A 21,974-nucleotide genomic window follows, 5' to 3' on the forward strand; every position below is an offset into this window, starting at 1 on the left:
GTGGTGTGTGATTTGGGAAGGACATAATTGACTCAATAGCTTATGTTTCTTCTTTTCCCCCTTATCTTTCTTAGACCACCTCGAGATTTAGACTCCAAGGCTTGCATTTCTATTGGAAATCAGGTAAGAAAAAATCATGTCTGCCACCTAATACGTTGGCCATTTTATATGTATGCTTTCTGACTGAAAAATTTATTTTCCCTAGCATGCTGTCAGGGGATGAGTCAAAAAAAGTTTGCATTTAAAGGGAAGTGGTATGCAAAGTTTTTGCTATTTTGAAAGAATGTTGAATTGAAATCAGGCTATTGTGGTTTTGATGGAAGGTATTTGAATAGAGTAGATGGTTCTCTTGGGAGGGCATTTCTCAAAGCTCAGACATAATCTAGTTGCCATCAGTCAATAGTGGGTTACAGACACAATGAAGGGTCATGGCTAAAGAACTTCAGTGAAATAGCTTCAACTGAGACATTGGCAAGCTGAGTCCAAGTTGGGTTTCTGTGTTGCCTGGGACAAGCAGGTGGGCTACCGTGGGAGCTCCTAGACATCTCTTGGCCCTTCTTGTAGCTTCTTGCTTTCAGAGGCTGCTTTGACATGCTAGAAAATCTTCTGGCCCAGAAATAATCCTTAGAACATTGAGAGAAACGAGATAGAGGATAATGTGCTCTCTGTTCTGTTTATTTTTCTCTTTCCCATTGCATTATTCCTTTTCTCTCTTGCAGAACTTTGAGGTGAAGGCAGATGACCTGGAGCCTATAATGGAACTGGGACGAGGTGCGTACGGGGTGGTGGAGAAGATGCGGCACGTGCCCAGCGGGCAGATCATGGCAGTGAAGGTAGAGTTGACATTCTCCCAAATGTTTTATATCTGCTGTGTATACATTTGTCCACCTCAATTGTCAACCAGCCCTTTTAATAGAAGCAAAACCATCTTCCGTAGGGTAAAACAGAAAAGATTATTTGCAGGGAACAGTATTTTCCTCCAAAGGTATGGAAAAGTCTTCCTTGGTGTGAGTTGTATCTACTTTTTATTTGTTTTTTTAACTCTTAACTCTCCCTCCACCCATTCTTCTACCATTTTTAATTTTTACAAAACTACCATGTCATCATCACACTTAAAAATAATTAATGGCCCAGGTGTGGTGGCTCACGCCTGTAATCCTAGCAGTTTGGGAGGCCAAGGCGGGTGGATCACGAGGTCAGGAGTTCGAGACCAGCCTGGCCAACATAGTGAAACCTCGTCTCTACTAAAAATACAAAAAATTAGCCAGGCATGGTGGCACACACCTGTAGTCGCAGCTACTTGGGAGGTTGAGGCAGGAGAATCACTTGAACCCGGGAGGTGGAGGTTGTGGTGAGCCGAGATCGTGCCACTGCACTCCGGCCTGGACAACAGAGTGAGACTCCATCTCAAATAATATTAATAATAATAATAATAATAATGATACTTCCTTCATCTAATCCGGAGTCCAAATGAAAATTTCCTTGATCATCTCAAAGTGTGTGTGTTTGTTTTGTCCTGTTGGATTTTCAAATCAGCATCCCAATGAAAGTTTACGTATTGCATTTGGCTGTTATGACTCATAGATCTCTTTTATTCTATATTTTGTTGCTTTTAAAGAATTGCCTCTGAAAATCAAGAAACCAGAATTGGGAGAGAAAATTGTCTCCATTTGTGGAAAAAGGAGGGTAAAATATATCTAGAGTAAATTTGCATAGTTTTTGAGCTATGAAAGGAAATTTAAAATCATTTCATATTATTGAGTAGGTGTTTGGAGGATCATAAAGAATTAACATCTCTAGCTGAGTTAATAGATTGGGGCTATTGTTAGGAATAATCAGGTGACTTGGATCCTTTTGCTTTTAAAGAATGGGAATACTTTTATCTTGTAGATTTTTCAGTCTGTTCTTCTGCTGACTTGCTAAGTAGGCAAAAAGTGTGAAGTCCCAGTGATATTGTATCTCTCCTATCATTTAATGACATAATCATGTTTCTGTAAGGCTACATTTCCTAGTGTGACAGATTGTTCTTCCCTCAGAAGCACTGGGATAGGAATGAACAGTTTCTCTATTTCTCTAATTGCTTCTATTTTGTATAGCTGTACCAATTCTCTTACAGTTGCTGTTCCCTCCAAATACTCTTACATGTTCCCAAAGAAGAGCTTTTGGCTTTTTATTTTCTTGGGACCCCAGATAAGCAGCAAAGTCCTTAATATTGTGCCCTCTTTGCACTGAACAGACATAATACAGTAAACCAGATTGTTTTCATACCTTGGAAATACATTCCAAAACATTTTGTCACTCTCCAAAACACACTATCAATTTGTTTCTTACCAGGACTATTCAGGAAATCAAATGAGTAACAGCCTTCCTTATTTTCATGTGTTACAAATAGCTAATCACTTTGGGTGGCTATTCACAATGTCATCGCCAGAACTTGTGTCATGAACTATTTTCACGATGGGACTCCTTCAGGTCCCTGCCTGCCTCATCCTCAGAGTAGTAACCATAAATTTTCCATGCATTTCCATTCAGCGGATCCGAGCCACAGTAAATAGCCAGGAACAGAAACGGCTACTGATGGATTTGGATATTTCCATGAGGACGGTGGACTGTCCATTCACTGTCACCTTTTATGGCGCACTGTTTCGGGAGGTAGGTGACCCTTCAATTCAAAGTCCAAGAGGAACAATAACTTAAAAAGAAGTTTCTTTGATCACGTAAATGCCTTCACAATCATGGAGCTCTTTCTTGTTTGACACATCTTGTATACGGGGGTTTACGTGTGTGCAATGATGACATGCCCTGGAGCAAGGTTGGATTGAAATTATGGTATTTTCAAATGTGGTTAGCCTTTTTAAGATGTGGAGTTTCTCGTCTCCTTTCTTTTTTGTTTTGTTTATCTTGGCAGAACTTTCTATATCGCCTATAGACTGATTTGCTTAGATCTCTTATAATTTGAAATATTCTGGTCTTTTGACTGCTTTAGGAGCTTCATCTAGCCTACTTGTGTACTATATAGACTTACTTTGATCTCTTTTCTCTACCTCTGTTTTCCACTTTAGCGTTATATGGATTATGAGGCTTCACCTCATTAAAACCAGCTTTTTGACTGACTGTTGCTGGTATTTAGTGTGAGAGATACGACATGGAGGAGGCATCTAGACCTAACTCCTAGACAGTGGTATCAGTAAAGGCCTGGATATCTGGGGTTGTATTGCTTATGTCTGTTAGTAATTAGATTCCATTTTTCATTAAGGGGTAGGAGAGCACATGCAGGTTCTGCTTGGCTACCTACTGGTTTGCTCTTTGTAGATAACCTTGCTTATTTGTAAATTCCTTTATGATCTTGACAGAAGACACTGTATTTCCCCCCAAAATTCAAGAAAGAAATAGTTAATTCTTCAGGATAGGGTTTACTGTTTTTTTTTTTTATTTTTATTTCTCCCTTTTTCATCCTTTTAAACAATTCCTGAAACAATTGGTCTCCAGGGTGATGTGTGGATCTGCATGGAGCTCATGGATACATCACTAGATAAATTCTACAAACAAGTTATTGATAAAGGCCAGACAATTCCAGAGGACATCTTAGGGAAAATAGCAGTTTCTGTGAGTACATTTTGATCCCTACTGCAAGGATAATGTGAGAAATAAAGTCCCTATGTGTCTTTGGACCTCAGTATGAAGAAATACTACCTGGGCCACAGCTACTATTCGTACATGTCTGTTGACATTTATTGGTGGATGGATAAATACATGCTTTCCTTTCTGAGCACTGTGTAGAAGATTCTAGCACTGCTTTGGTTTGGCAGACTCTAGGTTAAATGACTCTAAGTGCTGCATTCATCAGCTATGACCACATTCCTGGTGTCTATATTCTGACATTAGTTTATTTTGATTTTCATTTATGGATTTTTAAAATGTTCTCTTGAGACTAGTAGGCATAGAAGAAAGCAGAAGGAAAATAAATAGAAAGAAGGTCTTCTACCTTCATGGCTATTCAGGCTCAGGAGGGTGGAGAGAAAAAGAAGGAGGACAAATGAACAAGACAGATGAGGGAGACATCCTCTCTGATATAAGATACAGTCCTCTCTGGTGGATGGAGTCCAATTTGTGTAACTTCCTATGTATTTTCCTAGATAGGACCACCACTATTTGAGAAAATATCTCACTGGTAACCTAAAGCCAAGGATAATAAACCTTGATATACTTAACATTCAATTTCTTTCCAGCAATGTGATAAATAAATCTATCTTGTGTTTCTCTTGCAGATTGTAAAAGCATTAGAACATTTACATAGTAAGCTGTCTGTCATTCACAGAGGTAAGCATCCATGAGCTGCCTTGGCTGTTCCTTTGATAAAGTTCATCTCTTTCACCTGGAGTCCGTCTCTACCCCCAGTCCCCCATGGGTGGAAGTAGAATTGACTCAGGCAAGAGAACTAAGGGGCTTTCCTTTGAGATTGGATAGCAAACCATATAAGTAGTATTCCTTATCATGGCTGAGGACATAAGAAGAAGACGTGATCTTTGTCTTACATCCAAATTGAATATAAACACTTGTTAGCAAGCAGAGCTATGAGATCATATCATTGAGAATTTTAGAGAATATGATAAAAATTGATCTTGTATTGGCCATCACATGAGAGCTTGTTGGAAAAGAATCATGGGTCTCAAGATCAAATGAATTGGAATTTGCATTTTAACAAGATTTCCGGGTGATTCTTGTGCACATGAAAGTGTGAAAAACTCTGGTATAAAGTAGAGCCCTTTCAGACAACAGGAGGCAGGATATAATGATTTATCTCTTCCTCTTTCCTTTTCTTCCTTCTTATTGGCCTGTTATCTCTTCAACCAGCCATTCATCCATCCATCCATTCATTCATTTTCTATCCCCCCATTCATCCATTTATTCATCTTTTAAAATCACTTTTAAAATGTAATAGATCCCCTGAGAGGTATCTGAGAAGAAAATATATTCTGATTAAATTATGCATCAGGATTCTTATAGGGAAGTAAGATAAATGTACAAAAAAAAAAAAAAAAAAAAAAAAAAACCACCTTAGAAATATGAAAGTACCAAGCTGGGTGCCGTGGTTCATGCCTACAATCCCAGCACTTTGGGAGGCCGAGGAGGGCGGATCACCTAAGGTCAGGAATTTGAGACCAGCCTGCCCAACATGGTGAAACCCCGTGTCTACTGAAAATACAAAAATTAGTTAGGTGTGGTGGTGGGTGTCTGTAATCCCAGCTACTTGGGAGGCTGAGGCAGGTGATTGTAGTGATTGTGGTGATTGTAGTCAGGGAAACTTCTGGGAAGAGATAACCAGAACCCTGTCTTTGGGAAGAATAATGGAATGTATTGGTAAGTAAGAGGGCCTTGTGGTTTGGATAATTCTTAAACTCTCTGAGCCTGGAAATAATGTAAAATGCCTTCCACAGTGTGCCTATTATTGTTAGTTGTTATTATTAAAAATTGGAAAAATAGGATGAAGGAAGATGAGAAGAAAATAGGAAGGAATACAGATAGGAAAAAGACTGTAGATTATTCACAACTTTGAAATTAACATTAAGGGTTATTTCACCATTATGAAATATGTAATTCATATTAGAGAAAATATGTAAGGTATAAAAATAATAAAATGAAATTTGTGTATCTTCTAGCTTAAAGGGAAAATTATAAAGGATAATTTTTAAAGCTTTTGTAATAATCTTTTACTTCCAATTTTATGGGTGTTATGAAAAGTATCACAAAGGGAAAAATTAGCTGTAATTTCAAATGTTATTATCCAGAGATAATCGTAGTTCCATTTTTTGGGCATATGGGCGGGTGGGTTAAATTTTTCTAGTCAAAAGGATTCGTTTAAAATCTGGTCTGTAATACTGCTTCTTCAGTAACCTGCCCTGTGGTCTGGAATACCTGGGTTTATGATCCTTTACACTATGTGACCTCTGACACATCGCTAGCAGAGGTTTCAATCAAAATCTGTTGCTTTGGGCCAGGCTTGGTGGCTCACACCTGTAATCACAGCCCTTTGGGAGGTGGGGTGGGAGGACTGCTTGAGGCCAGGAGTTTGAGACCAGCCTGGTCAACAAAGAGACATCCTGTCTGTCAAAAAAAAAAAAAAAAAAAAGTTAGCTGGGCATGGTGGTTCCCACCTGTAGTCCAAGCTACTCAGGAGACTGAGGCGGGAGGATGATTTGAGCCCAGGAGTTTGAGGCTGCAGTGAGCTATGATCACACCACTGCACACCGGTTGAGTGACAGAGTAAGACCTTATCTTGAAGAAAAAACCAAACCAAACAAAAACAAAGGTTGCTTTGGTCATATTTGGTGTATCATTGTGTCACAGTCTGCCTTTTTGTTCTTTGTTTTATTACTCCTACGTTAAATATCAATAGATCATTTTGAATTGGACATTTGATTCAGTAATAATTTTTTAGGCTCTTACTACAAGTATGAGGGTAATGAAGATCATAAAATCAGTGGAGAAAACAGTTCTTTGTATGGAGAAATTCACAATTCTACAAGGCATGAACAAAACATGAAATAGAAAATCAAGTTGAAAGCAATAAGCTGTTGTTAACTGTGGGTCAGGGATGGCAGTTACTTCTGTGTTGGGCAGCTTGGGGAAAGGAAGATGAAGGACAAATGGAGATTTTAGGCCCTCTGGTGGCAGAGAAATGAACCTTGAAAGCAGGCTGAAATGATGGCATCCTGGTTGTTTTCGCTTTCAGACGTCAAGCCTTCTAATGTACTCATCAATGCTCTCGGTCAAGTGAAGATGTGCGATTTTGGAATCAGTGGCTACTTGGTGGACTCTGTTGCTAAAACAATTGATGCAGGTTGCAAACCATACATGGCCGTAAGTACATTAGCTAGGGTGGCATCTGGTAATGTCACTGCCGACAAATCATGCTGGGAAACAAGAAATGGATGGCCACAGAGGGAAAATGGAAATGTACCTAAGACTCCAGAAGTAGTCTGCCTCTTAGTATTTCTTCAAAATTTTATGTCTGAAATCTTTACTCACTTGCTTCGTATATTGTCTTAGTTTGTTCAGGCTGCTATGGCAAAGTAATGTAAGCCAGGCAGCATATAAACAACAGAAATTTATCTCTCACAGTTTTGGAGGCTAGGAAATCCAAGATGAAGGCACCAGAAGATTTGGTGTCCAATGAGGGCTCACGTTTCTCAGGATCATACATAGCACCTTCCTGCTTAGTCCTCGCACGGTGAAAGGGGCGAGGGATCTCTCTAGGGCTTTTTTAATAAGGGCCCCAATCCTATTCATTAGTATTCCACTTTCATGATTCAATCACCCCCCAAAGGCCCTGCCTTCTGATGCCACCACATGTGCGATTAGGTTTTAACCTGTGGATTTTGGTGGGGCACAGACATAGTTATATATATATTACTTTAAAAAAATCAAGTGAAAGAGATACGTTATTTGAAAAAATATATACACAATACATATAGCCTGCACAGTTTTCCACACTGTATTGCAGGGGAGTATTACCTTGTTTGTTGAGGACAAAATAGTAAATAGAGCTTAAATTACCCAAACAAGGCAGTTAGATTAGTTATGAGAGGACCTCACAGCTGTGAAGATTCACCGTCATTAGCAGAGACCTTGCAATCCCCTTTAACTGGAGGAACGGCCACTAGATTCTACCTGGAAATGGACTTGTGCTTTGAATTGAAAAGCTTCCTGTCTGTGTTTAGCTAAAAATTGCTCAGGTCTATTAGCATGGGACAGTAGCCCAGTGACACTTGTTTTATTGAGTTCTGGACTGTTCATGTTTTAAACAAGGATAATTCTAGATGGGCAAAGTAGCTTTATAATGTATACCCTGTTTCTTCTTAAGGCAAATTTTAAATTTGTTATGAAAGGAACTTGATCCATTACTGTGTCCAAGAAAAGACAAACACAGAAGAAGGGAAACCCCACGGAGGCATTGATATTTGTTGTAGTTAACCGGGTCTTCTTGGCCTTGGTGGCATGTTAACAGCTTATAACAACTCACTTGGCAGCTGGTGCTACCCCCATCCCCAGAGACTATTGAGCTAAGAACGTTATCTCAATTGTCTTCCCAGTTTCTCAGTTGTCTGTCTTCTTTCCAGCCTGAAAGAATAAACCCAGAGCTCAACCAGAAGGGATACAGTGTGAAGTCTGACATTTGGAGTCTGGGCATCACGATGGTAGTGTATGCCAATCATCATGAACTATGAGGTTGTGGGTAATGAAACTAGAATGAGGTGGACGTTGGGTTCAAGAAACAAATGCCCTAAATGCTGGTTTGGGGCGCCCTCTCCTGCTGAGCTGGTAGGAGATTTTGAGTAATAATTGTTTGTATTGTGGTACAATAAAAACACTGATATGGGATTGGGGAAACCAATCTTTCTCTTGATTCCACCTCTGACGAGCTGTATGCCTTTTTGAGTAATTGTTACAGTCACATGGACTATCTTCCTATCCTCCTCTGTAAAACGAGAGGATCTGACCAGATTCCTTATAGTTTAAAATTAAATTATTCGAGCCAAGGCAAGAAGCTTAAGCTGTGCAAAGAATGCTAATGTGCGTGAACCCTGATAGGGCCGTGTTATCCAGGACATAGACTATGCTTCCCAGGATATTTTTATTGGAGAAGTAGAAGTCAAAGTCTGATCAGGTCAGTGTATTAGTTCGTTTTCACACTGCTGATAAAAGCATCCCCAAGACTGAGTAATTTAAAAGAAAAAGAGGTTTAATGGACTCACAGTTCCATGCAGCTGGGGAGGCCTCACGATCATGGCGGAAGGTGAAAGGCACATCTTATATGGCGGCAGACAAGAGAGAATGAGATGAGACAGCCAAGTGAAAAGGGAGATGCTTCATAAAACCATCAGATCTCGTGAGACTTTTTCACTACCATGAGAACCATAGAACAGTATGGGGGAACCACCCCCATGATTCAATTGTTTCCCACTGGGTCCCTCCCACAACATGTAGGAATTATGGGAGCTACAATTCAAGATGAGATTTGGGTGGGGACACAGCCCAACCGTATCAGTCAGGTATATCCTCAATACATGATAACCAATAGGATGATTTCCTTAGACACAGCCCTAAAGTTATATGATTTATTCATAACTTATTCATAACTTTGGTGATTGTAAATTTCATAACTTTGGTGGTCATACATTTTCAGTGGATCACCAAGGTCTGGAATTATCCACTGTGGTCCTGGCTCCTCCCCAGGCACAGCAGCTGAATAAATCCCATGAGTTATTTCTCCTGCCTGCCCAGAAAGCACATGATCCTGTAATGCAAAGTGGCCTTTTCTCAAGTCCAAAAAAAGATCTGTCATTTGGTTCTAGGTTGCTTTTTCTCCCTGTCATTTCACCAAGGGACCTGAAGGTGGCAGTAGATGCTCGGCTCTGGAAAGATCTTAGGCTGGGAATTACTTGTCAGACCAAACGTTTGAAATCCTCGTAGCTTTACATCCTGAAGTTTAATACGGTTGGCTTACAATTTTTATGAAGTGCCACAGTGGGTTTTAGTGAGGGTCCCCATTTTAGATAGGCTTAAGTGGCTGTGTCTAGTAAGTAATATTTAAAAATCCCTAGCACTAGGAATTTGGGGAAAATTGCTAGAGAACAAATTATTAGTTTATTTCCTGCCCCCCTACCCCTGGACTTATACTTGAACTTTGCCTTGTGTTTCCTGCTGTCTATCCACAAATGAAACGTGGGTGATTCCCTAAAGCAGCCCTGTTGAAACTGTTGTCTCCTTTTTTCTTCTTTTCTCCAGATTGAGTTGGCCATCCTTCGATTTCCCTATGATTCATGGGGAACTCCATTTCAGCAGCTCAAACAGGTGGTAGAGGAGCCATCGCCACAACTCCCAGCAGACAAGTTCTCTGCAGAGTTTGTTGACTTTACCTCACAGTGGTAAGACAGCCTCACCTCCCAAGTGTCAGTGTGAAAGAAGAAGATGAGTTCTCATGAATTTCTTCCATCGGGGTTGAATCCATCATGCATACATTCATTCCGAAAGCATTTGTGGAGTATGCCCTCTCTGCTGGAGAAGCAAAGATGACCGTATCACACTCCCTGCCCTCACTGAGCCCAAAGTCAAGTAGAGAAGTCTCATAAATGAATAATTATAGTATAATGTGGCAAGTCCAGTGATAGAGATAGGGGCATAGGCGATTTAAGGAACTCAGAGGGAAGACCTCAGGATAGGCTTTTCTGGAGGAGATAAATCTGGAGCTGCGATCACGAGAGGAATTTTCCAGACAAAAGGGAAATAGGAAAGGAAACATATTCCAAACAGAAGGAACATCATTCACAATGTCACGAAAGCAAGAAACTCCTTTATGTGAGCTTTAAGCAATTTGATGTTGATTAAAGCATAAAGAGAAAGCTGATAGGACCCACTAGAGGCCTGGGGATAGGAAGTAGAGGCAAAGAATTACTTTCGGTGAGAAGATAGTGGGTAGTTTGAGAGTGTTTCTTAGGTCCCCAGAAGTCTTGTAGAACCTTGGTTGCTACTGAATACTTGCTAACTGTGGAGAAACTTGCCCACCATAAGAGACAATGCTGAAGTTCTGGGAAGGGAATCCAAAGGAAGTTGGGGTGGAAAGTGGGAGGGAGCCATACTCATGAGGTGAACTATATTTTCATGAAAACTGCCAGGGCAGTCAAGAAAAGCAAGAGGGGAAAGTATTCTCTAGACAATCCAGTAATTTCTATCTGCATAGAGGTCATGATGCCTAGCATGGCTTGATAGTAATGATCATGGCAAGTGATGCTGGAAGCAGGATGCCAGAAGTGAAGCACACCCCTGAGCCAGGTTAGCGTATTTGGCCATCCGGGAGAAGTAGATGAGAATTAGGAGGAAGGGGGCTCGGAGATGGTGGCAGGCCCAGCTGTGACCCTGGGAGGGGAGCCGTTCTGAGTACTCACTGCTGGGGAAGGGCCTGGAGCTCTGAAGGCTGTTTGAGGTACTGAGGAAGCTGAAGGAACATCTTCCCCGTGGCTTCATTCCTCAGCCTCCATGGTTTTTAGAAGTGCTGTGAGGCAGGGCACCCGCGCCTGTAATCCCAGTACTTTGGGAGGCCAAGGCGAGTGGATCACCTGAGGTCAGGAGTTCAAGACCAGCCTGGCCAAAATGGTGAAAACCTGACTCTACTAAAAATACAAAAAATTAACTGGGCATGGTGGTGGACAGCTGTAATCTCGGGAGGCTGAGGCAGGAGAACCGCTTGAACCTGGGAAGTGGAGGCTGCAGTGAGCCGAGATCACGCCATTGCACTCCAGCCTGAGCAACAAGAATAAAACTTCGTCTCAAAAAAAAAAAAAAAAAGCTGTGAATACAGCATTCATCAGGAAACATGGAAGAAACATAAAACAAAGCAACTGTCTGTTGCTTGTGAACCTAAGAGCTCTTCGACTCTTTGTTAGCCCTAGGCCCCTTCTCATTTCTGGTACTTTTCCCTGATGATGTATGAGGCTGGTCTGCAGTTGTTTGTTTTTGTTTTTGGCTGGATGACTAGAGAGGGGCTGGAGCCTCGAGCACTAGTGTAATAGTTGTTGGATGCCTCTTAAAAGATATATCTTCTAGGCTGCTTCCTGTCTGTTTTCCTTGAGGGAGTGTGCTGGATGTGGTAGTACCTCTGCCAGGTTGACCTGGGTTCATGATTTTGCCTTCTGGATTCAAAGACTTGTTTTTTGTGGATGGTTGGTTGGTTGGTTATTTATTTATTTATTGCCTTATCCTCAGATGTTTAAGGTCACATCAAAAAAAGGGATGAGGGGCCGGGCGTGGTGGCTCACGCCTGTAATTCCAGCACTTTGGGAGGCCAAGGTGGGCGGATCACTTGAGGTCAGGAGTTCGAGACCAGCCTGACCAACATGGTGAAAACCCATCTCTGCTAAAAATACAAAAATTAGCCAAGTGTGGTAGCACACACCTGTAGTCCCAGCTACTCGGGAGATTGATGCAGGAGAATTGCTTGAACCTAGAAGGCAGAGGTTGCAGTGAGCTGAGATTGCACCACTGCACTCCAGCCTGGGTGATAAGAGAGAGACGCCATCTCAAAAAAAAAAAAAAAAAAAAAAAAAAAAAGATGAGGCATCTTGGGTAGTACAGAACAGTAGTTCTCAAGAGGGGTGGTAATGGGGAATGATCTTATCTAGCTAAGTCTCTTCAAATTATTCTCCCTATTACCTTTCTCCCACCTATCCCCTTTTCCCAAGATTCTGGGTGCTTTAGGAAATTTTGGTAAGAACGAGGCTGGTGTGAAAAGTTTGAGAAAGCTGAGTCTACCATTGTGAATCACCAGTTTAATCCAATGATTCTCAACTGTGGCTGCTCATTTATAAAACTCTAGTGAGCTTTCAAAATCACTGCCCCCTAGGCCTCATCCTCATAGACTCTGATTTAACTGATCTGGGGAGGGGCCAAGATACTAATATATTTTTAAATGTTCTCAAGTCATTTTTATGTACAGCTGCGGTGATAACCCCAGGTTTAGACATATGATCTATGGACCTGCCATCAACTAGTTTCTGTTTAGAAGGTTTATTTTCTTCAATTTGTTTAAAAAAAATCATCCAATTGCTTGAATTTTCTTTCACCAGTGTATTTTTTCTCTTACTGGAATTTTCTCCGAAGAATCAGAGCATTGAAACTTTTTAGAGATATTTTAAAATGAACATCTTGAGAAATAAATGGTTTTTAATTTTTTTTTTTTTTTTTTTTTTTGGAGACGGAGTTTTGCTCTGCCACCCAGGCTGGAGTGCAGTGGCACGATCTCAGCTCACTGCAAGCTCCGCCTCCTGGGTTCACGCCATTCTCCTGCCTCAGCCTCCTGAGTAGCTGGGACTACAGGTGCCCGCCACCACGCCCGGCTAATTTTTTGTATTTTTAGTAAAGACGGGGTTTCACCGTGTTAACCAGGATGGTCTCGATCTCCTGACCTCGTGATCTGCCCCGCCTCAGCCTCCCAAAGTGCTAGGATTACAGGCTTGAGCCACTGCGTCCGGCCAATTTTTCTAATTTTAATGTATGCACACATATATGGAAGTTCCAGATACCGGCATCATTGCTCTTCATATAATGACTGCCCTGTGCCTTCTCTCTCCTTATAACACCCATAGTGCCTTCATGGCTGCCTGCAAAGATATCCCCTTCTCTCTCATTTTCTTTTAATTTTAATCCCAGCTACCACAGTTCATTAATTAAAAAATTTTGAGCCGTAGACATGTCTCAGCTTTCCTGAAACTGTTAATTCTATTAATACTGTTTGCTCGGTGTCATGTCATTTCTACTCAAGTAAGTCAGTTTGTCTTATATCTGGGTATATTAAAAACAATACTCTGTCTCTACAAAAAATACACAAATTAGCTGGGTGTGGTGGTGTGCACCTGGGGACCCAGCTACTTGGAAGGCCAAGGTGGGAGGATCGCTTGAGCTTGGAAGGCTGAGGCTGCAGTGAGCCATAATTGTCCCACTGCACTCCAGCCTGGGTGACAGAGCAAGATCCTGCCAAAATAAGATAAAATTAAATAAATAACAAAATGCAATATAAAATAAAATAAAATATGAAACTATCTAGAAACAAAACCCAAATCACTTTACCCTAGAAGTCATTAAAAGATAAATTTTCCTTCCTCAAAGTGTCAGTATTATAGTTCTGGTAGAATGCTATACTTAAGAATATCAGTTGTCTAAAATAGTCATTTTGTTGGTATGGGAATTAAGAAATAGAAGGGAATCGTTAATTCTGAATTTTATGAGCATTCTTACTTATCCTCAGTTTGACTTTTTCAGCATGCAAGCTCTCCTATTTCAGATCCCAGGTCAATAACTTTTTTTCCCTGCCACAAACCACCAATATATTTTCTTTGATATCCCTTAAGTATGAACATTATTTTTCAACTGGGTTGAAAAAGTCATCTTATACTCAAAAAGTAGCACTGATTTTCTTTTAGAGTTTATGACTGGCCTAGAACTTTACGGAAGCAATTTTATTTTTCATACATATATTAATATATGGGTACATACCTCCAGCCATTAGCCATCTAGTGATTTTACTTGTTTGATTACTGAAAGCTTGAGGTTTGATCTGGAGCTTGGTGGAAAGAATGGAAAAGTGATAATGTTAACAGAAGAGTACCTCTTCTACCTCTTCATGAACATTCCCTGTGCACGTAACTCCCCTTTATCAGCTATTCTTTTATTTTTCTCATGAATAAAGCTGTGTTATTGAGACATAACTTCATTAAAGGACCTTTTTTTTTTTCGTGAGCTCCATGTTTTTTATATTTTTATTATGTAGGCTATGGTCCTCCCAGACTTCTCAGAAAGGCCGCTCTATGTGCTAAGTGGGGAAGGGAGACTACGGATTTCAAAAGTGAAATATTTAATCTCAAATTTCAAGATAGATACATCTATGTTTTTATTGCCTACATCTGTCTTTGGTATGCAGAAAAAGAACCCATTATACCCGCAGCCTAGGTAACTGTCAGAGTATTTGTGAACTTGTGTATCCTACCTAAGCATTCGATGTCACAAAGCTACTAGGTATCATACACCTGCCTAGGTATCATACCCGTGCCAAGGAATCAACTTGGCACGATGCCATCACCATGTTGCAAGGTACCATAATTCTGTATCCAGGGAATTGACTTGGTAGCCACTCTTGTCTGGCCCATCAGTATTGATCACTGCTTGTTAGTTGACAGTAAATCACTTAGTTTGTAGGGTGAAGTAGAAAAGCTCTAACAGGCTATCATCACCACACCCAAAGTTAGACCTAGAGTCCAGAGTTCCAGTTTTTGCATTTCTTTTGCAGTAACATCTGACAAATGTTATCTTGAAGGAGAAGGAAGAATTAACCATATGAACGTAAAGGAAAAAAGCAAACCCACAATGGTTTCTTACAAACCCTTCTTTTCTGTATTTATTTTGAGATAGGACTACAGAATGAGATTTTCTTCCTCTTTTTCCTATATATCTCTTTCTTATCGTAGGGGTTTTAAGGAGTTCTTGAGTTGGGTTGTGTTGACCATGTCAGCCTTGTTTTGAGATTCATCATAGAGAAGTCTAATAGAGAAGTCTTGCTTTCTAGTCCTGCAGAAGGGTTAACAAACGAGTTCGCAAAAGATTGGAATCTTAGCCGGTTTACACTTTTCATTATAAACTCTTCCTATAGGTTCACAGAAGGAAGTCACTGGAAGTCAACTGCCGAGTGCCAGATCAGCTGGACTTCCCTTTGGCTTTTTCTCCAGGCCTATTTAAGAAGCTGTGGGCCCAACTGACCAGTCTGATGGCATATTGAAGGGTAGTGGAGGCCCACTCAAGCATCAATATTGTCTGACTCAGGGAAACTAGCATAAAACACAGACAGTCAAATACAGTCTCCTACTTGTGTAGGAAGGACAGTAAAAAGAGGCACTAGATGTTTATTTAGCTTTTGACAAATGTATGCCTTGAAACGCGCAATGTGTTTTTATTCTGTGGATGTACCAAATAGCCCTTCTTGGAAATGATCGGGGGAATTCAAATAGGCAGAAATCCTCTGGTCAGCACAAACTACAAGCTAGCAATTCTCAAGACAGCATGAGCTGTTTTTTAGTGTCAGCTATGGTCAGAAGCGTGTGTTGTGGCATTTGGAAAAGGAATTAGGGCAGTTAGCTAATTGCACGCTTGAAAATGAGAAGCTCTTTGAAAATTCAAAAGTCTGATTCCAGTTCAAAAAGAAATTGGTGTTGCTTTGAACTCCAAAGTTGTTATTGTATACTGAATTTCAAGTACTTCCTACTAAACATGGAAAATTTGCTTTCCCCCCAACCTTATCCTGAGTGTATTGCTATTCTTAGCCCATGTTTTGAAGTGTTCTTGATTTAAAAGATGGAGAGAATGGGTTATATCAGTTCCATTAATTTAATAAACAGCCTTGCTTTGCGGTGTAAGTATTTTCCATCTATATTCTGCAGTAGTGTTTGGGGTAGATTGTGAGCTTTCTAATCAGGGGCCATGAGTCAAGGAATAGCCTATTGACCAGTTAGTCTTGGAGGTTTCAGGAATCCTTAACACTTTATGATGGATCAACTAGGGTACTTTCCCCATATTTTCTTTATACAGAGTTAACAAAAATCTGGAGATTTTTTTTTTCTTTTTTGATACAGTCTCACCCTGTTGCCCAGGCTGGAGTGCAGTGGTGCAATCTCAGCTCACTGCAACCTCCGCCTCCCAGGTTCAAGTGATTCTTGTGCCTCAGCCTCCCTAGTAACTGGGATTACAGGCTCCTGCCACCATGCTCAGCTAATTTTTGTATTTTTAGTAGAGTCGGGGTTTCACCGTATTGGCCAGGCTGGTCTTGAACTCCTGACCTCAAGTGAGCTCAAGTGATCCACCTGTCTCACCCTCACAAAGTGTTGGGATTACAGGCATTAGCCACTGCACCTGGTCGAGAAATCTTTATAAGCTGTTCCAGAAGTGAAAAGATAAGATATCCTGACTCAAAATCAGTATTTTAAAAAAATACAGCATTTAAAAAAAATACAGTATTTTTAAAAATGGAGATGTTTAAGCTCATCTATCTGTTGGAAAGAGACAGTCATTTTATCTTTTCTGCTAAATATAAGGTAAAAAATCAGCACATTTTTACATTTGAGAAACAAGCTTTTCTTCCTGACATTGCCTTGGTTCTGTTGTTGACCAATGAAAGCTAGTAACGGAGTGGGCCTGGGTCCTCAGTGAGAGTGTTCCAGATGCAATGCGGAGTTTAAGGTCTAAATAGAGACAGCCAGAATCAACCATCTGAATATTGAGTGTGGATTTAATGTTGTGCTTGCACTTTTTGTTATTTACTTAGCGTGTTACATTGTTCCAGCGATAGAGAAGCATTTCTGGTTTTTGATTTGCTTTGAACAATAGTGGGAAATTCAGGGCTTCTAGCCTGTTTGTTTTTTTTTTTTTTTTTTACCAGGGTCTGTGTGCAAGTCAGCAACGCTCCTGGGATCACATTGCTTCTTCTGTGTTTCTTTCTAGGTAAACTAGCTCTTGAACTTAGAAAGAAACACTTTTGCTTCCTGGGGTTGAGGGCAGGAGACGGTCGTGGTGAGAATGTGCTTAAAGACAAAGACAAACCAGCTGGAGATGGTCCTTTTAAGTGAAGGGGAGAGGAAGCCGCAACAAGGAGGGACCACCTATTACACAAAGCACAGCGTTTCTTAATCTCTGCACTCATGACATTTTGGGCTAGAGTGTTCTTTGTTGTGCGGGATTGCCCAGTGCATTACAGGATGCTTAGCAACATCCCTGGCCTCTACCTATTAGATGCCAGTAACACCCTGCCACCAGATGTAACAACCAAAAATGCCTCCTGACATTTTCCATATATCCCCTGGGGAGCAAAATGACCTCCAGCTGAGAACCACCCACGTAGACTCTCAGCATCTAGGTACCTACAAAACCATCGGTGGGAGTTACACGGACTCATTCATTTCACTCAGCACACATTCCCATATCAATCAGACTTTGCCGCCTGTTAATTCCTCTTTCTAATGCGCTCTTATTTTTATCCTCAGTTGAGATGAAACTTTCTCTCATAGGTTGTCTGGTCACTGAGGTCACTAGGTCCTAGGTCTGCCCTCAGTTCCAGGTTGAAACTTCTGTCCTCACATCTACCTGTAGCCTGTCTCAGGTTCCCTGGCTTCCACCCACAGCATTGCCTGGAACAAACTGGTAGGCTGATTTTAAGTTGTTTTGGTTCAAAAACTTTCTCTCTCTCTTTTTTTTTTTTTTAATTTTATTTCGTTTTAAACCACAGTTTCTCAAAGTGCCTGAACTACTTCGCTCTCTCATGGTTCTGTACCTTACCCCGTCATGCTTAGCTTCGGAGGGTGAGGCAGAGCTCACGTCACACATGCTAGGTCTCATTTGCTCAAAATGATCCCTTAGCTCAAATCCCAGCAACCTAACAATCAGTTACATTTTGATTCCTCCAACTCCAGGCAAAATTCCTTTCCATTCCAATGCCAGGCAAAGCTCCTTTCCATTCATGTATGATTTTGTGGTCCGTTGGGCACAGGAGTCTGTAGGTTGCCTTGCAAATCATAGTTTTCAAAATCATCTTTTTCTGCATTCTGTAACCTGGGATTCCAACTCCAAGTAAATTGTTTCTTTTCTTTTCTTTCTTTCTTTTTCTTTTTTTTTTTTCATTTTAAGGCCAGAGTTGGATAGAGGATAGGGATGGGCTGAGAATGGGGTGATGGGTTGGTCTCTTCATCTTACAGTTTTATTACTGTTAAATAATAAGTAACAGCATTTATTGCCTCCGGTATCAAATGTTATTAAATGTCTGTGTCAATGGAGAGCAGAATAACCAGAAGTCACCTGACAATAGCGCATGACCATAAAGTATTTCTAACAAGAATAATTGCTGTCACTGAGTGCGCTCTCTCTTTTATCAGCTGTCATAAACAGGTCTTATTACCTTTGTCATAAACAAGTAGTATTACCTTAGAAATGTTATGGGGGGTTGGGCACAGTGGCTCACACCTGTACTCCCAGCTCTTTGGAAGGCTGAGGCAGGTGGATCACTTGAGCCTAAGACTTCGAGACCAGCCTGGGCAACATGGTGAAACCCTGCCTCTACAAGATACAAAAATTAGCCAGGCATGGTGGCACGTGCCTGTAATCCCAACTACTCAGGAGGCTGAGGCAGGAAGATCACCTGAGCCTAGGGAGGTGGAGGCTGCAGTGAGCCGAGATTGTATGCCCCTGCACTCCAGCCTGGGCAACAGAGCCAGCCCCTGTCTCAAGGAAAAGAAAATAAATATTAGGGGTTTATTGCTTCTATCTCAGGCAGATTTGGTTAGGACTATATAAAAGCAAATTATACATTCATGGGAAACAGAAGCAAAAAGAACCAGGTACCTGACAGTGAAGAGATAACAAATGGCAATGTAAGAAACACTTGCCAATTTCTTTGTCTGTGGAAATGGCATTAAAGCTGCTTTGAAGGAAAGTAGATTTTTTGAAATAAAATGGCTATAGATCAGAAAAATTAGTGTGCATATCATCGGTAAAGTATCAAAAGGAAAGTACACACACACACACACACACACACACACACAACTATTTTTCCCATTAAGGCACAACCAGGGTGATTTAAAACATGATACATAAGTGTTACAGAAGAGGAAAGTCAAGATAGGAGGCTGTGTTTTCAATACACTTTTAAAGCTGATTATGTTTAGTGTTCTACAGGTTCTGAAATCCTTGTCTAATGAAAATATATATGGCTTCTAGATTTTAATGATTATTTTTTTTTCTTTAAGCTTAAAGAAGAATTCCAAAGAACGGCCTACATACCCAGAGCTAATGGTGAGTATTGTTAGCAACGTAAACATGACTATACTGATAGCTACAAAAGGCAAAGTCACTAAGACCTAAATTATCATCACATCACCATATTGGAAGAGTTGGTTCATTGATACATCAGTGACAGGAATTGAACTCCAGGAAAGAGAGTTAAAGAGTTCATCCTACATCCTTCTTAAACATAGGTTGGGACCTGTCACTATTCTTAGTAGTTTTTTTCCAGGCTAATAAACCTGTCATGATACAGAGCAAATTATGTGTATACAATTTATATTTTTGAATTTAAAAGATATGAGAAGCCTCATATTACTAAGATAAAATTAAGGAAAGTATGATTTAAGAGATTTCAATACTGAGGAAAACTTAAATGCTCTTTGACTGATCAATTTTTGATCAAATATCTGGGCTAAATTAGATGAACAACTTTTTGGGGGGTAGCTAAGGAGGAAAAAAAATTTTGCTTTTTGTTTTCACTTTGGTGGAAAAAAGTAAGACAAAGCATGATTAGTTTAAATTATACTCCCTCAGCATTCACAGTTTATCACTTGCTGTGTCTATAAAAAGCAAGAGTGAAGAAAGTAATATCTTAGCATTGTTTGTTGTATTAAAATAACGTTTCTTAAATTGTGGTAACTATAGGCCGGGCATGGTGGCTGTTCATGCCTGTAATCCCAGCACTCTGGTAGGCCGAGTTGGGCAGATTGCTTGAGCCCAGGAGTTGGAGACCAACCTGGGCAACATGACGAAACCCCACCTCTACAAAAAGTACAAAAAATTAGCCGGGCATGGTGGCATTTGCCTGTAGCCCCAGCTACTCAGGAAGCCGAGGTGGCAGGATCACTTGAGCCCAGGAAGTTAAGGCTGCAGTGAGCCGTGATTGTGCCACTGAATTCCAGCCTGGGCAACAGAGTGAGACCCTGTCTCAAAGAAAAACAAACAAACAAACAAACAAAACTCTGGTAACTACAATTCTAAGCTAATTACTAATGATTCTAAAAGCTAAATACAAATGGCAAGGACCTAAACTTGGCAATGCTTTGCTTTATCTAAGTATATGTTGAATGTAGGAGAAACACATTTTTGGGGGGGAGAAATATATAAAATTCAGACTATTTGCTAATTTATGTTAATTCCTAGATTTGTTTCAATTATCAAGGTTTTCATTTTAGCAGGGGAAGGAAGAGTTACGTTCATGCACAATTTCAAAAGCAATAAAACACTGACACCCTTTCTTACTGGAACACAGTTATTCATCAGGCATTAAATGCTTGCTCCTCTGCTATCCCAGCCACAAGCCCTGCTGTCTTCAAGACCAACTCAGGGCATGTCTTAGAAGCATGGATTCCTAGTGTCAAATGCTGTGGTGAGGTGGCTTAGATATGAGGAAGCACAGCTTGGAAATGTCGAGTCAGGAAGAGTTACAGAAAGCTGATCAGGAAGATGCGTGATAGTTACAGCCAATCACATAGGTTTTCACTTCTGTTGCCTAAGCTTTGATTGAAGATTGAACCATTTTGCAACTGGATGAATTGGAGATGAGACCATCTCATTGGGCCTCCATTGGGTGCATTAAAAGGCAGCCCCTGGTGCTCAGCACTCTACCATCTTTATTCAACTAAAACTCACAGTTAAAGAAGGAAATATGAGTAATGTTTGAGAAAATCCTAGCATAGTACATGTTTAAGTTGAATATTTTCTTCCCGATTATTTTTTAATAGCCAGTCAAAGGCTTTTTTGGTTCTGTTTACTCTTTTTAAATATGCTTATGCACCCGCTAGGCCATTTTAAAATTAATTTCATATAAAATACAGTAGATATACAGTTATTCTTGTAGGATACTATGGAGCCTGTAATCCTATTTTATTTATTTATTTATATTTTAATTTTTATTTTTTAGAGATGGAGTCTCATTATGTTGCCCAGGCTGGTCTCGAAGTCGTGGGCTCAAACAATCCCCCGGCCTGGGCCCCCCAAGTAGCTGGGACTACAAGTGTGCACCTGTACTCCTATTCTAAAGTTGCCATGTTTTGTAACTAAGTTCAGATAAGAAGAACATTTTCTATATATTTCTGGCTACTTTTTCTTCTTCCAAATGGTTTCGGATCAGAAATTTCACTGAAACACACTTGAGAAAAGAATGCTTAATATACATGGGCAGCTGATGTCAAATTCTACATTTGTAATATGTTCTAACCCTGTGATATTTTATGGCCTACATATATATCAATGTTATAAAATCATGTCAGTCCCCCTTTTCTTCTTACAGCATTAGTCTTTGTGGTACTGGAAATGGACTTGCCTTTTAAGACTATAACTGTTCCCTGCTTTCCTGTGGAACTGAGGTTTTCAAACGGAAAATCTGAGTCCAAACTCCCTGACTTTAGCATTGGGAAAACACTTGCTGAGAGGCAATTGTTTAGATTTTAGGAGTTGGTGAGGAAGTATGAAGGAAAAAAATAATCCTTTTTCCAGGTGAAGGACAGTTTAATTAAGGCCTTAACCTAGACATGTCCCTCTTATAGAAATCCCAAATGTTTCTCTCCCTAACACGGATTGAAGGGTGTGTATTCTTTAAGATCATGTCATTTGCTTCTTCT

At 40.4% G+C, this 21,974-nt stretch overlaps 1 protein-coding gene across 7 annotated transcripts in view; it reads left to right on the top strand.

Annotated features, from left to right (window-relative positions):
• The window catches only part of MAP2K6 (mitogen-activated protein kinase kinase 6), a 139,169-nt gene that overhangs the window by 102,084 nt on the left and 15,111 nt on the right, over nt 1-21,974 (top strand). For all 7 annotated transcript variants that reach the window (NM_002758.4, XM_047436411.1, XM_011525027.4 and 4 more), the window contains 9 exons: nt 75-123; nt 720-833; nt 2,533-2,652; nt 3,490-3,606; nt 4,269-4,320; nt 6,734-6,861; nt 8,121-8,198; nt 9,790-9,929; nt 19,335-19,380. In NM_002758.4, coding sequence (NP_002749.2) covers nt 75-123; nt 720-833; nt 2,533-2,652; nt 3,490-3,606; nt 4,269-4,320; nt 6,734-6,861; nt 8,121-8,198; nt 9,790-9,929; nt 19,335-19,380 — 844 coding nt within the window. The remainder of the gene's footprint in view (nt 1-74; nt 124-719; nt 834-2,532; nt 2,653-3,489; nt 3,607-4,268; nt 4,321-6,733; nt 6,862-8,120; nt 8,199-9,789; nt 9,930-19,334; nt 19,381-21,974) is intronic.

Source organism: Homo sapiens, chromosome 17, assembly GCF_000001405.40.
Source record: "Homo sapiens chromosome 17, GRCh38.p14 Primary Assembly".
NCBI lineage: Eukaryota > Metazoa > Chordata > Mammalia > Primates > Hominidae > Homo > Homo sapiens.